This window comes from Homo sapiens, chromosome 13 (genome assembly GCF_000001405.40).
Source record: "Homo sapiens chromosome 13, GRCh38.p14 Primary Assembly".
Classification (NCBI taxonomy): domain Eukaryota; kingdom Metazoa; phylum Chordata; class Mammalia; order Primates; family Hominidae; genus Homo; species Homo sapiens.
The window spans coordinates 98,387,173-98,402,338 of NC_000013.11; the positions used below are offsets into that span (position 1 = coordinate 98,387,173).

Sequence of the window (15,166 nt, forward strand, 5' to 3'; positions counted from 1 at the left end):
TACCTGTAATCCCAGCTACTTGGAAGGCTGAGGCAGGAGAATCGCTTGAATTTGGGAAGCAGAGGTTGCAGTGAGCCAAGATCATACGACTGCCCTCCAGCCTGGGTGACAGAGCAAGACTGTCTCAAAAAGAAAAACAATAAAGCCAAGTGGAGTTTTGAGTACTATCATTAAATTTCAAATCACAATCCTGAACCATTTCTAAAAAGTATTAAGAAGGAAAAGAAGTGTCTCACAATTGAATTAATGTGCTTTGATTGTGTTTGACACAATCCCTAAGTATTGGGAATACCTGGGTAATGTAGTCACGTGCAAAGCCTGTGTCTCGGAACCCACCTTCTTGCCAGTGCCCTATTGCTTCATTCTTGCCACGTTAAATGAACAGGCCTGGTGTTCCAGTGGGCTCCAGAGGAATTCTAATTTCAGCTGAGACTGGGCAGATGGGAGTTGGTATCCGGCAGCTCCCCGTTGTTTCTCCACCTTGGATGGAGACAATGACTCCCTGGCTGCCAAAGACAATGAAGACATGTGAATCCGGCCCAGAGACTGTGCTGGCCTTGAAGACACACAGCAGGCCTGGCCTCCCATCCTCAGTTCTACCGGTGCTGTTGGAAGCTTGATGGGCCCAGGAGCCAGACCAGCGTGGATGAAGCAGGGAGTTGATTGCAAACCTGCTGAATGTTAACCATAGCTGCCAGGAAGGCGTGTGCTTGGAAGTCTCTTTCTGCCACATTAAACGTGTCATTTGCAGCAAATTAAAATAAATCCACGTTGCAGTTTCCATGTGTATAAAATGAAAATAGTAAGTCCATCTTGCTGGGTTTTATCATATCAGGGTTGTTAAGATACAGTATATAAAGCCCTCAGGATGGTACCTGGCGCTTCCTAAGTCCTGGCAGCTAATGATTGTGGTGGTTGTCATGGTTTTTATTTCTATTTATCTTTCTTTTCATCATTATCTTGGCTAGTTTCTTCTCTCCCTAGAGGCAGACTTAGTTTGTATGCCAAAATCCTATAATTAGTGAGAAATAATGATCCAGGAACAGGTATCATCCGATAGCCACAGATCCTGTGAGTTCTCTGCAAAAGTCATCTCTACTGAGCAGTCGCCTGCCAGCCCTCTTCCTTTAGCTCCCATAAGCAAAACAGACCAACTCCCAAGTTGCTTGTTATGCATTTCCTGGCTCACTGCTACTGTCTTTCTTTTTAGGGTTTCACTAAGATCAATGCCTTCAACTGGGCCAAGGTGCGGAAGCTGAGCTTCAAGAGGAAGCGCTTTCTCATCAAGCTCCGGCCAGATGCCAATGTAAGTGGTCCTGGCGGGAAAGGGGACCCGTTGAGCCATGGGATGGCGTGTGTCCTGCAAGGGGTGGAGGTCTGCTTGGCAGGGCTTCTGCTGAACCTCTGGCCAGTGCTACCCAGGTGCTTTTGTCCACATGAACGCCGAGCGTCTCTAGGACAGATGTATCCAAATGGTCGGTAACTCTACGGCTGTCATCGTTGGTAAACAGAGAGCGTAAAGGAGGTACATGAACATGTACCTGGGGAGAGGGTCATTTCCCTGCGCAGATTCAGGCAGCCCCTCCTGATAAACAACCTGAGCTGTGCTATTGCTGTGCATCCAGCCCCAGGCTACACCTGGAGACCCCATTCAGTATCCTGCCCTACCCCAGGCATAGACTGACTTCCCCAATCCCTGCTGGAGGCCCTGAGCCCCCAGTGGAACTCATTTTCATGGGCTAATTAGGTTCCCTTCCCCACTTACTTCCCACAACACGCCTAACACTGTGGCCCACGCCAGGACTGGGACGGGAAGGGAGGAGAAGCCTCTTCTTTGTCTGCCAGAAATGGCGACGGAGGAGGTGGGTGATGTGTCCTGGGCGTCTGTCCCCAACCAGCGTGTAGAGTTCTTTTTCCCATGGCAAAGAAGATGATAAATGGCAATTAGGCTTATAGTGTAGCTACAGTCTGGGTTCAGTAGGTTTTCATGGCCCGACCTGGGAAGCATATACCCATTTTAAATGGTTTTCCATGGAAAAATTCACTGGAGTTCCAAAAAGCTGCCTTATAGATAAAGAACTGCAGCACAGCTTGTTTGTAAGTTGGGTCCACCCAAAACTGTGAGATCCCCCAAAATAGTTAGAACTGCTGGGAATGCTAAGGACAGTAGTAACTTTTGTTTATATAATATGGCCACTTCAATTGGGAGCAGAAAATTTCTATATCCCCTTTCCAGAATCAAAGGGCATGATTTTTTTCAGCCAAGAGTGACACTTTGTGCTCCAGAAAAAAAAATTCATTTCCTGTGTAGTTCCTGGGGTGGCCTGGAGCCCGGAGCCGTGGGCGACTTCACAGAGAAACGACGTAAGAGCCAACATTGACACGAAGTATGAGGAAGAGGATGAACGTTGCGTTTCAGTGATTTTAAGGAGGCAGGAAGGGACTTTCAGTATCTGGGTTTTGTTTTTCAAGGAAATGTAAGCCAAATAAACATAATTTGTATATGAAATCTGTCAAAAAATGGTGTCACTTCCATTGAAGCCACGTGGCTGTTTCTGTTACCCGTCTAAGAGATTCTGTGGGGAAGAAAATGATGGACTAGGGACCACATCTTGTCCTTAAGAATAACTAGAGTTTAGTAAGTCTTTGCACTGATGGTCATGCTATAATAAAATACACAGCGAAAACTTTATCGGACAAAGCTATCTTCTGCCCCTTTTCTCCTATTTCAGTGGTGTATCTATGGGTAATGGAAAAAACCACCGTTGTATTTTCCCTTTTTAGAGTGCGTACCAGGATACCTTGGAATTCCTGATGGCCAGTCGGGATTTCTGCAAGTCCTTCTGGAAAATCTGTGTTGAACATCATGCCTTCTTTAGACTTTTTGAAGAGCCCAAACCAAAGCCCAAGCCCGTCCTCTTTAGCCGGGGGTCATCATTTCGGTTCAGGTGAGGTCGCCACTTTGTGCCTCTGTTTGCTGGGTGCACGTTTTTCCTCCCGCCTCTCACAGCCGCTGTGACACACAGCAGGTCAGGGAGGTGAACGCTCATTGGCCTCCAGGAGCTATGGCCAAGCGGGGGCGCTTGTATCTTAATCCCAGTGGGCTCTGTTTGAACAGCAGAGGCACCAGGCAAAGCCACCCAGTCATGGTAAACGCCTAGCGGGAGTCTCTAACTCAGAAAGGATTTCTCTCTCAGTAGAAGTACAGTGTCTTACTAACATTTGGTGTTGCTTCATAGAATATGTGGACTTGGATGTTATTGGTGAACTTTTCCATTCATTTTTAACAAATCATTGTCTGCCATGTGTCAAATACTGTTCCAGGCACTGAGCCCAGTGATCCCTGCCTTCACTAAAGGCACAGGCTCTTGGGATGGTTGCTTAGTAACCAAACACAGTTATCAAGTGGGCTTAGTTAATTGAACATTTTTTCTGTATATTCAAGGAAAATATCAAGAGACTGAGTGGACCCAAAAATACAGAGTCTGTCAGGATTGCTTTTAGTCCTGGCTAGCCAAGCAACCCTGCATCTCTCCCAGTTAGGGAAGGAGGGGAAGTGAAGCCCTGAAGCATCATTTGTGTGTTTAAATGAGAATGCCTTGGTATTTCTCCCCTTCCCTGTTGTGGTCTCTGTTTCAGTGGTCGGACTCAGAAGCAGGTTCTCGACTATGTTAAAGAAGGAGGACATAAGAAGGTGCAGTTTGAAAGGTAAGAGAAGCTTCAATGCTACTTCCAGTCTGAGAAGGCTCAGACTCGCCAGGTAACAGTTTGTTGCTGCTAAATATTTCTTTACCCAGACTTCAGACTTGATGTCCCTTGAGTTGTAAATGATAGTCTCAGTCATCCTCAGCAAGTCCAGTGTTAGAGAGGAAGGTTTTAGAGCCCAGGGGCACACCCTCGAGAGTGAGATGAGAACAGACAGAAAGGACTAGGGGAGGCGGGAGAGGACATACTGGGGAAGGAGAGAAGGGCTTAGGACATCACAGTGGGGGATGAAGCATGATAAAAACTAGCTCACTGGTGAGTCCTTCAATATTTTGGGATTTGTATTGAAAGCATGTCTATGAACATTTTAATTAAATCAAGTAAATCTGGATGAGCAGAAACAGGATTTTTTCTTTCTCAAAACAGGGTCTTGCTCTGTTGCCCAGGCTGGAGTGCAGTGGTGTGATCACAGCCCACTGCAGCCTCAGCCTCTGGGACTCGATCAATCCTCCCACCTCAGCCTCCTGAGTAGCTGGGACCACAGGTGCCCACCACCACTCCCAGCTAAATTTTTGTAGAGATGGGGTCTGCCTATGTTGCCAGGGCTGGTCTCAAACTCCTGGGCTCAAGCCATCTTCCCGCCTTGGCCTCCCAAAGTGCTGGGATTACAGGCAAGAGTCACCATGCCCAGCCAGAAACAGGATTTATTATTATTATTGTTGTTGGTGTTATCAAACACTTGTAGCCCTTAGTGTGTGCCAGGCTGTTCCGAGCACTGGGCCTGAGTGAACTCATTGAGTCTTCACCTCAGCTCTGTGAGGTCAGTGCTCTTTTATTCCCTTTATAAAGATGGAGATACTGAGTCCCCAGTAGGTTAAATAACTAGTCCAGGTCTCATAGCTGCTAAGCAGTTTCTGGCCAGCCAGCCAGCTCCCAAGCCCAATGCTCCAAGGAGGAGCAGCAGAACCCAAGGAGGGTAAAGGAGCGGAGGATAGGCCTCAAGAACTAGTTACTGCATGTAGCGTTTTTAAAAAACTTTTTTCATTTTCATACATTTAAAAATTACAATAAAGTACAGGGAAGTCAGCAAACACCCAGATTCCTACTACTTAGAATTAACGGCCATTAACAGTTGGACACATTTGTTTCTGGGGTTGTTTTTTCTTCTTTTATTTGCAGCTCTCGTTACAGACATGGTAAAACCCCCTTGAACCACCAGCTCTGGTAATTTCCCTTCTCCCCTCCCCAGAGGCAGCTGCCACATTTAGGCTCCTTTCTGTATGCATATTACTGCATCCCAAAAGAGTGTGTAGAATTGCTCTGGAGGCCGGGCACAATGGCACATGCCTGTAATCCCAGCACTTTGGGATGCCGAAGTGGGTGGATCACTTGAGCTCAGGAGTTTGAGACCAGCCTGGGTAACATGACGAAAGCTCATCTCTACCCAAAAAAAAAAAAAAAAAAAAAAAAAAATTAGCTGGATGTGGTGGTGCATGCCTGTGGTCCCAGCTACTTGGGAGGCTGAGGTAGGACGATTGCTTGAGCCTGGGAGGTCAAGGCTGCAGTGAGCCAAGATTGTGCCACTGCCCTCCATCTCTGGGCCACAGAGCGAGATCCTGTCCCAAAAAAAAAAAAGAGAAAAAAGAAAAACTGCTCTGAGTGTGTTCTTTTCATTCATATAAGTACTCCCATATATAATTCTGCATCTTGCTTTTTTAATACTACCTTTTTTTTGAGATCTGTTTTAAGGGCCATACAGTAGTATGAAGATACTACACTGTATTTCTCTGATTGCCTATTGAGAACCATCCAGATTATTTCAGTATTTTGTTTTGATTTTGCTGAAATAAACCTGCTTCTGTGGCCATCCCTGCATCTTCCTTCTACCACAAATCTGTGGTGCTTTCTCATGCCCTGTCTCTATAAATGTCATGTTCAGGAGGTTTTTTTCAGGAGGTTTTTTTTTTGGAGATGAATCCCATAATTTTCCTGGACAGTCAATGGTTAGTATTTGAAAACCATGTAAGAAATAGCCCAGTTCTCTCTCTGATTCAGAATGTGGATCTCTAGAGCTTTTCTGTGCTAACCTGGAGTATTTTGAAGAAGAGCTGGATGTGCCTGGGAATAGAATCTATATTTACACAGTCTCATGAATTTCAGGACCTGAGCATTTCAGTGCCTGTTTGATGGGGAAAAGGGGAATAGGCAGACTGAGAGGGAAGAGATGAAAGAGACGTGTCAAGATGCTGTTAAAGTCAGTTCCTTCTACTGTTGAGGGCAGGCCTTTTCCTCTGAACTTACCGCTTTGATAGAGTGAGCGGATGAGTGGTAATTGCCTCTGTTATAGAACTGATCCAGAAAATAATTACCTAAAGTACATGAATTGATTTCATATTGTCAGACCATAGCTTGCTATTCAGAGCATGGGAGGGCGCAGCCACATCCTCCCTCCTCTGTGACTTTCCCCTTAACTAGAAAGGTCCTGCTCAGTTGCTAAATGTTTCTTCACGAGCTGCACCGTGAGAACTACAACAAGGGCTTCTGAGAATTTCTCCGAGATTTAAGTAACCCTTGAACCATGCAAGTGCTATCAAAGGATGACTGCGTATGTTTCCAAGTAGCATTTGTAAAGGCGGCTCTGGGTACCATCATTATTGAGGAAGGCACTAATACGTCCAACAAAAGGACTTTTGTTTCATTTAAAACCAAGGAAAAAGAAACAAAAACCTCACCTAACTTTAATGATCTTGTGTGATTTTTCCCAGGAAGCACAGCAAGATTCATTCTATCCGGAGCCTTGCTTCACAGCCTACAGAACTGAATTCGGAAGTGCTGGAGCAGGTCAGTGATGGCGCTGTCCTATGATAACTCTGCTTTTCCCCACACTTCCTCCACGGAGCCCTGGGCTTCAGAGCGGGCTTTCTTGTTCTCTGTCCTTTCCTTTGGGGTTTTTAGCAGATGAGAATCTGATTATGGGCCTTGGCTTTGACCAGATATAGGCTTTGTGCCATGTGCCGGCAGCCTGGGCTCAGAGGCCGTGGAGTGTGTTGTGTTTTCAGCTGCCTTCTCATCTCCCATGCGGTGCTCTAAGCCACTGAGAACTCAGCTCAGCGGCGGAACCATCGCGGCAGTGGGCAGAGCTGAGACTGACTCTCCAGCTAAATGGGTCCACTTGGGAAGAGATGGGGACCCGCTTTGTAACCAATGGGTGTAACTCCTGCCTGGTGCCAAGGCCAGAAGCCTTTGCTGGCACAGAACTGGTCGGCGAGTTCCCAGAGCTTGTATTACAGGGCAGTGACCACAATTGGCAGTAAGAGACATTATCACTCTTGCTCTGAGGGTGGCAAAAGCTCGTTTTCCCTGGAGTTGGTCTCTGGGTAAGTTCTCAGGGCTTTCTCTAAAAGAGAAAAAGAAACTTGGGGAAGAATATAAAGGAGGTTTCATCGTGTGAATCCAAAAAAACCCCTTTCCCCGTCCAGGCTGCCCTGAGAAGTATAAGCAAACATGTCCTTTGTCGTTTTTCTGATGACTGTGTCAACTTGCCTTCAGGGGTCCCTGATGTGCCTGCCCATCCTTCCCTGGAGACCCCCTGTGGGCTGGAAGGGCCGTCTTGTTCCGTAGAAGCTTTACAAGCCCAACATGAGCAGGACGTGGTGGCTGGCGCCTGTAATCCCAGCACTTTGGGAGGCCAAGGCGGGAGGATCACTTGGCCCCAGGAGTTCAAAGCCAGCCTGGGCAACGTAGACCCCAGTCTCTATAAAAAAATTTAAAAATTAGCCGGGTGTGGTGGCACATGCCTGTGGTCCTAGCCACTTGGGAGGCTGAGGTGGGAGGATTGCTTGACCCCAGGAGTTCAAGCGCAGCCTGGACAACACAGGGAGACCCCATCTCTACAAAAAAAATTTTTTTAATTAGCCGGACATGGTGGCGCAGGACTGTGGTCCCAGCTACTTGGGAGGATTGCTTGAGCCCAAGAGGTCGAGGCCGCTGTGAGCTGTGGTTGCAGCACTGCACTCCAGCCTAGGTGACAGAGTAAGATCCTGTCTCCCCCTCCAAAAAAGAAAAGCAAAGCAAACCCCAGCATGAGTCGGCGGGTCCTGGAAAGCAGAGACCGGGCCGGGCTTGTGCTGCCGGGAACAGTGCTGTCAGCCGCCACGCCCTGAAGGAACCTTCTGGATCATGCCCAGATGTGCCTCCGTGATTGCTGCTAGGCCAGAGAGCTCCGGGGCAGTTCTCCCGCCGCAGAGGCCTCGGGTGTTCTTGCCTGGCTCTCCTTTTCTGTTTTCAGCCTTGGAATAACAGTCTCCCTCTTCTCTATCTCTCCGCACCTTTTTCCCCACCCCACCCAGTCTCAGCAGAGCACCAGCCTTACATTTGGAGAAGGTGCCGAATCTCCAGGGGGCCAGAGCTGCCGGCGAGGAAAGGAACCGAAGGTTTCCGCCGGGGAGCCGGGGTCGCACCCGAGCCCTGCGCCGAGGAGAAGCCCCGCGGGTAACAAGCAGGCGGACGGAGCCGCCTCGGCGCCCACGGAGGAAGAGGAGGAGGTCGTTAAGGATAGGACCCAGCAGAGTAAACCTCAGCCCCCGCAGCCAAGCACAGGTCCAGCATCCCGGGCTGCCAGAGGCAGCAGTACTTCCATTCCTTTCATTGACTGCAGTGACGTAGATAGCGAATACGACCTTCTTAGAGAACAAGCGTCCCGATCCCGGTCCCGATCCCGGTCCCGGTCCCAAACAAATGACAATTATGAGGGTGATCTGACCAGCGGTGTCTATCTGCTGTCCAGGGAGGAGGGGCGAAGAGAGGCTGGGCGTAGGGCTTCCCCGCACTCTGCGAAGTCCTCCCGGCCTCCTTCCGGAGAATTCCTTGATGACGATTCAGCAGACATCACCTTTGATATGAGCGGGAGCCCTCGACTCCCAAGGCATAGCTCTCTCATAGATGAAATGTTCAAGGGCTCGGCTGGTCACAGCCCCCTGGCCACCCCATTGTCTCCCAGCAGCAGCAGTTCAAGTCCAAATATGAGTTGGGACAGAACTGGGTCTCAAGGCTATGTTTCGGAAAATGGACATGACCATAGAGAGGGGAGTATGGGAGAAGACACTCTCCCGGACCAGGGTCCTCCTTATGAACGCTGGTCCCCCACCTCGCCAAGGCCATACATGCGGAATCTTCCTGGTAGATGTAATAAGTCAGAGACAGATCCACTCATCCTTAGCCAGGTAGCATTTACCCCGGAGGCCATGGATGGGCTTGGTGGCCGTGGGAAGTGGGGGCAAGCCAGCGCAGCTGCTCCCGAGGGTAGAAGCCTGGCTAATGGCACACCCCCCATGGGTGCAGCCTCTAAGGTCCCTGCTGTGCAGTCGGTGTGTGCCAGAGGCATGGCGGGGCAGCTGGCACCCCTGCAAGTGACCGAGGGCTCCACCAGCAGTGGGACTGAGTCCAGTGAGTCAGACTCTGAGATGCTGATCCCCGGGAGTCAGCCCCTCATATTTGGTAACCCCGCAGTGCTGCGTTCCCCGTCCCTGCTGAGAAGCCGGGGGTCCTTGGGTGGCCTGCGTTTGAGTGAGGAACAGGAGGAGGATGAGTGAGGAACAGGAGGAGGATGAGTGAGGAGGCCAGGAGCCAAGTCTTCAGCCCGAGCAACCTGGGGTCACGAGACCAGGGTTTCCCTAAAGATCATCTGTTCTAGTGACTCATTCATTTGTAGTCTACATTTGTTAGAGGAGATTTTGGACAGGCACATGTTTGAAAGAGTCTGCCTGACTTCTAAAATCGTTAAGAAAAACAAAACTTCACATAAGTGGCTTGCTTTCCAGAAAAGGTGGGCAAGATAAACAGCAAGTCCTAATGACAAGTTCTCAGGAGCTTGTTTATTTTGCTGGTTGAAGGCTAGGAAGAAACACTTTATTATGAATCCGATCATGTGTATAGTGTGTTATATTTATATGGCAATTTTCTGTGTATGTTCAATTATGCAGCTCACCCTCCTGTTGGTTGAGAGTTTGAACTGAAGCATCCTTGAGATTACAGAAAAGGGTTTCCCATTCTCCCCTTCTTTAAAAGGAGGGCTGCTTTGTCCATGCCTCATGAAGTGAGGAATTGGCACTATTCAAGGCCAAATGTAAATTGATAGCTAGTTGAGATTATGTTGGTGAAATCTTTCGTCAAGAATAATGAATATTTTAATGGGAAGAATTTGGGGTTATTTCTGCTTCCCAGGCTTCCTGTGAAATACTAGAAAAGTTGTCAAATCTTCATGAATTGTGATCTACTAGGGATTGCTGGTTTGGTTTAGGTTTGCATTGGTGGATCATATTGTTATGTTTTAAGAAGTACAATTCTGCCTCTCAGAATCTCTTGGTGAAACTGAAATCCTATTGAGTGTGGATGCAGGGAAGAGCAACACCTTGAAATAGGCACTGTTGTCACCAGTAGGTCAACAAACTAAATGCCTGCCTTTGAATTGTGTACAGCGCAGAGAAGGACTGTTTTCCAGCATGGTTGCTCTTGGTTGGTGTACAGACACAGTCTTACCATTCACACTCTGGTGAACAGTGTCCTCTGTTGGGAATAGTGATACTTGGATGTTTCTCTGAGCCAGAAAAAAGAAAATGTAAGGAGAGAGAGATTGACTTCTTTTTAAATCTTGCCCACCAGTGTCACTGCCTTTCACCCAGCATTCCTGCATTTTAGATTAAAGAGCCTGGTTTTCACTTGAAGTTTCTCTGCCTTAGCTGCACGTTGCAATTTTCTGAGATATTTTAAAAATTAGTGATGCCGGGACCCTGACCCTAGGGATTTTGATCTCATTGGTCTTGAGTGCTCCTTGGGCTTCCCAGCTGTTTGTACTGGGCAGCCAGGGTCACTTCTTACCCAGGCTGTCTCGAATCTAGTGGAATACAGTAAAAGTGTTAGCTAAATTTTTGGCTTGCTTGCAGAGTAAGAAAAACATCACAAACAAACTGCTTTTTCTTGATGCCTGTGATTTGTACTTTTCAGCCTTAGGTACTTTTTTTTTTGAAAAAAAAAAAAAAAAAAAGATAAATTGTAGAATAAAATTTTTAGATCCTAAGTAACTACAAAATTATTGAAAAGAGTCCTAACAAGGATAGCTCCCTGATGTGCCACCATACCAGGGCCTCACTGGGCTCATCACGCGACCCGATCACAAGGGAAGCACCAGGCGTGCTTAGGACACTGAGTAGAATTTGGCAGCAGCATAGAAAATGGAGGAGGATCGGCTCGTCTCATTGACAAATGATATCTGTCCACATGAATGTCCAGAAGTCGGTTTTAAAGAGTCTGAACACTTAATCCATTTTTATACAGACTTTTTTTGTTTTGTTTTCCTAATCATTTGATTCAGTGCCTGATTGAATCAAGCTGATTGTTGGATCGTTTGAGAGTTGTTCATTGAAGTAGTCTATTTACGCCTTGCTTTGAATTTATATATTTAACCAGAATCACAGAATTTTTAAACTGGAAGGGACCTCAGAGGTTCTTCTGGGCAAACCTTCATTTCTTCTGAAAAAGTTAAGTGACTTTGCATAACTAATACAGCTATTGCATGACAAAGCTGAAACTGTAACCTCGTCTCTAGGCTTCACTTTTTTAATCTCTGTGATATCTTGGTGCAATAGGAGCTTTTTGATTCAATATTTTAATTTTGGAGAGTCATATGAATTAATAATTCAAATCGGATGTGGAGACTAGTGATCAAGTAGACTTAGGCAATTACAGGCCATAATAGGTGGGAAGAACTACTTCTTTTTATATGGTGAGGGTTTTGCAGTTATAACACATTTTTGCATAATCTGTTCAGACATAGGAAAAATGTCAATTTGCTATGAGTGTTCAGTGAAGTGTGAGTTAAACAGAGCCAAGTGTGGAATCCTGTGGTTTATCTGTGAAAGTGGTTTGTTCAAATGAATTTTCTTTTTCCCTCTAATTATACAGCAGTCTGGTAATGAAATACGATTGAGCACTAGGTATGAACTTACACAGCGTATGACAGGAATCGTCAAATGTAAGCATCCCCGAGCAAAACACGCTTCAATCATTATTTTGTTTTGCTTTTTCCTACAGCAGTGATTTTTATCTAAGTATTTTAAGAGCAGTTGATCAATGGCAGTATACTCAGTTGTGTATTGATGAGATTTTTCACTTTAAGAGTTGCTCATAGAGTTTTTCCCTCACTGGCTTTGTACCAGGCAAGCAACTTAATTTCTGCTTCTTGGCCAGTATTCACAAAAGCAGCAATCCTGGTGTAATTAATGGTGCTTACAGTTTGTTTAAAGGCTGTTTATCATACATCCTGATGTGCTGCGAATAGTCACTACTTGCCTCAAGAGGAGCTTGTCCTATGCTAATAAAGATTCTATAACATTGGCCAAAGGGTCCGTTTATACATTCTTTGAGCCTGGTGGAGCACGTTTGCTGAGGTGATGTGGTCTCCTCAGTGTCACTGTGAAGAGCTCAGTCAGGAAAAGCCAGCAGCATCTACCCTGCCACCCTCCAAACCTTCTGACTTTGGGGAGACTCCAGTCCCCCAGGTCTTTACCCAGCCTGCAGATCTCATTCTAGCTTAACAAGGGCATGCGTGTGCATGAAGTTGAACTAAGAGTGGAGGAAGGCCAGAGGTAGGGTTGGGTGTGATACTAGGTAGCAGATATTACAGACTTCTGAATGCATTCAGATTTCCAAAGGGTTTCCTGAGACCTCTCAACCAATCTTTCTAGGACAATAGCTAGTGTAGGGGTCTCCTGACTCAATAGGGGACCCAGGCCTTCAGATACCAGCCACTCACTGGCTGCTCTGTGACGTGCTATCTTAAGACCGTGAATGGAAGACAAGCCCTATGTAAACACAAATCTTAAAGCCACTGTTGGCTACTCGAGGGCCTCCTTGTGCTAATATCTTTTGTTGGATATTATTTCAAAATATGTGAATTTTAGACCCTTTTGTGGTTGCCTTTGCTGCCGCTTGTTAAGGGCAAAATAAAAACGCAAGAAATTCTTTTAGCATGAAGAAATACATTTAATGAGCTCCAGAACTCAAAATAAATGGCTTCAGCTCCTTGAACAGTCATCTGTATGCCATTGACAATATTTTATTAGATAGGCGTTTAATTAGAGGAAGTCTGTGGGCCAGATTCTTCCCTGCATGTGTGATTCATATTTGGAAATTTCTGATTTATCTCCCCCCAATTGTGCCATGTGGCCTGCACTTAAAATGTAAGTAATTCTGATTTTATTCTCAAGAACTTATTTGAAGATTCAAGCCAAGCAATGCTGAAAAAAGCTAGGCCTGCAAAACTAAAACATAGCACGAGCCTCTCAAAATTTCCACCAAATATACAAAATCCAGTCTGCTCTGAATGTGCATCAGAAACTCAACTTTGGTTATTAGCCCTGGAATTTGGTGCCAAAAACAAAAATTTGGTTTTGTTGTCAAGCAATTTCTAAAGGAAGAAACAATGTAAATATTAATCTGTCATTTTAAATGTTGTTGAAACTGCCATGAGTGTGCACACAGCTCTCTGTTTCATACCTGTAATCAGTATTCGCATGCTTTCAGTCCACTGTTTCTACTTAAAGCATTATTCCGTATTTCAGCACAGAATGACTTTGGTGAAACTGTAGCTGTTAGTGAGTAATTGCGTTACAGGCAGACCCAGTCTTAAATTAACAAATCTGGGTTCCCTTAACTATCAGGTTTATGTTGGTTTTATTTGCTTCTATCTGGATCCCTTCTCTTTGCCTGGGACCTTATTCTGATTAGCTAGATTTTTAAGAGCTTTTAAAGTTACATTCCCCAGAAAGACTTTTTTTCTCTGGACTTTCTCTTTTATGGTCTGTAAACATTTCTCCTCTGATGGTCATGGACTTAGTTCTAAGACTGGCCTTCCTCTAGTGTGATGGTATGAGTCTATTCTATTGCTGCTAAATTTTACAAATTGAACTGCAGAAGAGTCTTTCTAGGTAATCCCTGTAACAGAGCAAGTTTCTTTGAACCCTAGCCATGTATGTGTAGTGTTCCATTATTGGAACGCTAAGCATGTGGGAGTTATTTATATCTTACTGCTCACGGTCATCATCAAGGTCTGATTACAAAAATTCAAAAAATTACAACCTCAGGCATAAATTTAAAGAGGTGGCCATTTAAAAATAATCCGTTGCTACCATTTCCACTTAAAATGGTAGCTCTCTGATGAGTTTTATATTGGCTCTCTGTTAGCCAAGCCCGTAAGAGCATATGGAGAGAAAGGTACGATTGAATGAACTTCTGTGAGCGGCATAAAGACATTTACTCTGACAACATTAAAGAATTTACTGGTACTGTTTTTTTTCCTTGTTAGTTTAATTCCATCTGTTTCTGTTTAATTGAGTGAAACTTAATAAAAATGGTGTCTCTAGTGAGCACATGTACACACCTCTCCCAGTTGTTGGGATTTAAAATGAAGCTGTGACTTTTAGGCCAAAATTAGCGTGACACTTAATATAACAGTTTTCTTTCTATTAAAAAATAATGACAAAACACACACACACACACACACACAATCTGTATGATGATTTGGCCTGGAGTTGTAGACATCACAGATCAAAAGTGGCCTGGTGCTAGCTGTTTGGGTATATCCTTGAAAAGGGCAACTTTGTCATTTCCTAGAGTAACCTAGAGAGAGATTTCCAAGCATTTCCCCATGAACAGAAGTGGTAAATGCTGATTTATTGTGCCATATGTGTGTTTGGGAGGAGGGGAGATAGCGTCTTGTTTTGAAAAAAGTTCTCACTTCATAAAATAAACTGCACACCACTCCAAAAAAAAAAAAAAAGATGAAACCTCAAGCAGGAGGAACTTTTTTATTTAACCCCTAGTGAAAGCAATTAAACGTCTTGGTAGATGCTAGGGAAGAATTAGAAAATCTTCTTTTCCTGAAAGCTTTAAACATTGAATAGACTCTGATTTATTCAGGATCATTTCGGTGTAGATTGGCCACTCGACACAGACATCACAGCATGGTAGCCTCGAAACCAAGCCTTCAGCATCTTCTCGGCGCCCGGTGTTGGAGTGTTACTTGGAGTGGAGGCAGTGCATTTGCATCTTCATGTAGTCTCCAGATCAGGTTACTCTGATTTGTCTTGGAGTGGCTTTCTGTTTGAAAGTAGGGAAGATTAAAAATCAACTTGCCACGGGATATCTGATCTCCATGAGTAGTTGAAAGCCAGTCTAAAAGGTTAACTCTACAGGGCCGGCGCCGCCAGTGCGGTCATGGAAAATCGTGCTGTGAGATACTGGAGTGTGCTGCTGGGGCCAGGTGCAGCAATTGCAGAATGTTGAGGAGTGAGGAGTAGTTAGAAATCACTGCAACATGGAAAAGCACACAGACCAAGGACGCTAAGGAGGGAGCGAGGACTACCGGGCAGGTGTGCGTGTGTGGAGTAAAATGCATCGGACAGTG

At 45.6% G+C, this 15,166-nt stretch overlaps 1 protein-coding gene across 2 annotated transcripts in view; it reads left to right on the forward strand.

The window, feature by feature from the left end:
* FARP1 (FERM, ARH/RhoGEF and pleckstrin domain protein 1) overlaps positions 1–15,166 on the forward strand; it is a 312,588-nt gene that overhangs the window by 244,584 nt on the left and 52,838 nt on the right. For both annotated transcript variants that reach the window (NM_001286839.2, NM_005766.4), the window contains exons 9-13: positions 1,211–1,306; positions 2,785–2,948; positions 3,640–3,708; positions 6,471–6,546; positions 8,055–8,304. In NM_001286839.2, the coding sequence (NP_001273768.1) occupies positions 1,211–1,306; positions 2,785–2,948; positions 3,640–3,708; positions 6,471–6,546; positions 8,055–8,304 (655 nt within the window). The remainder of the gene's footprint in view (positions 1–1,210; positions 1,307–2,784; positions 2,949–3,639; positions 3,709–6,470; positions 6,547–8,054; positions 8,305–15,166) is intronic.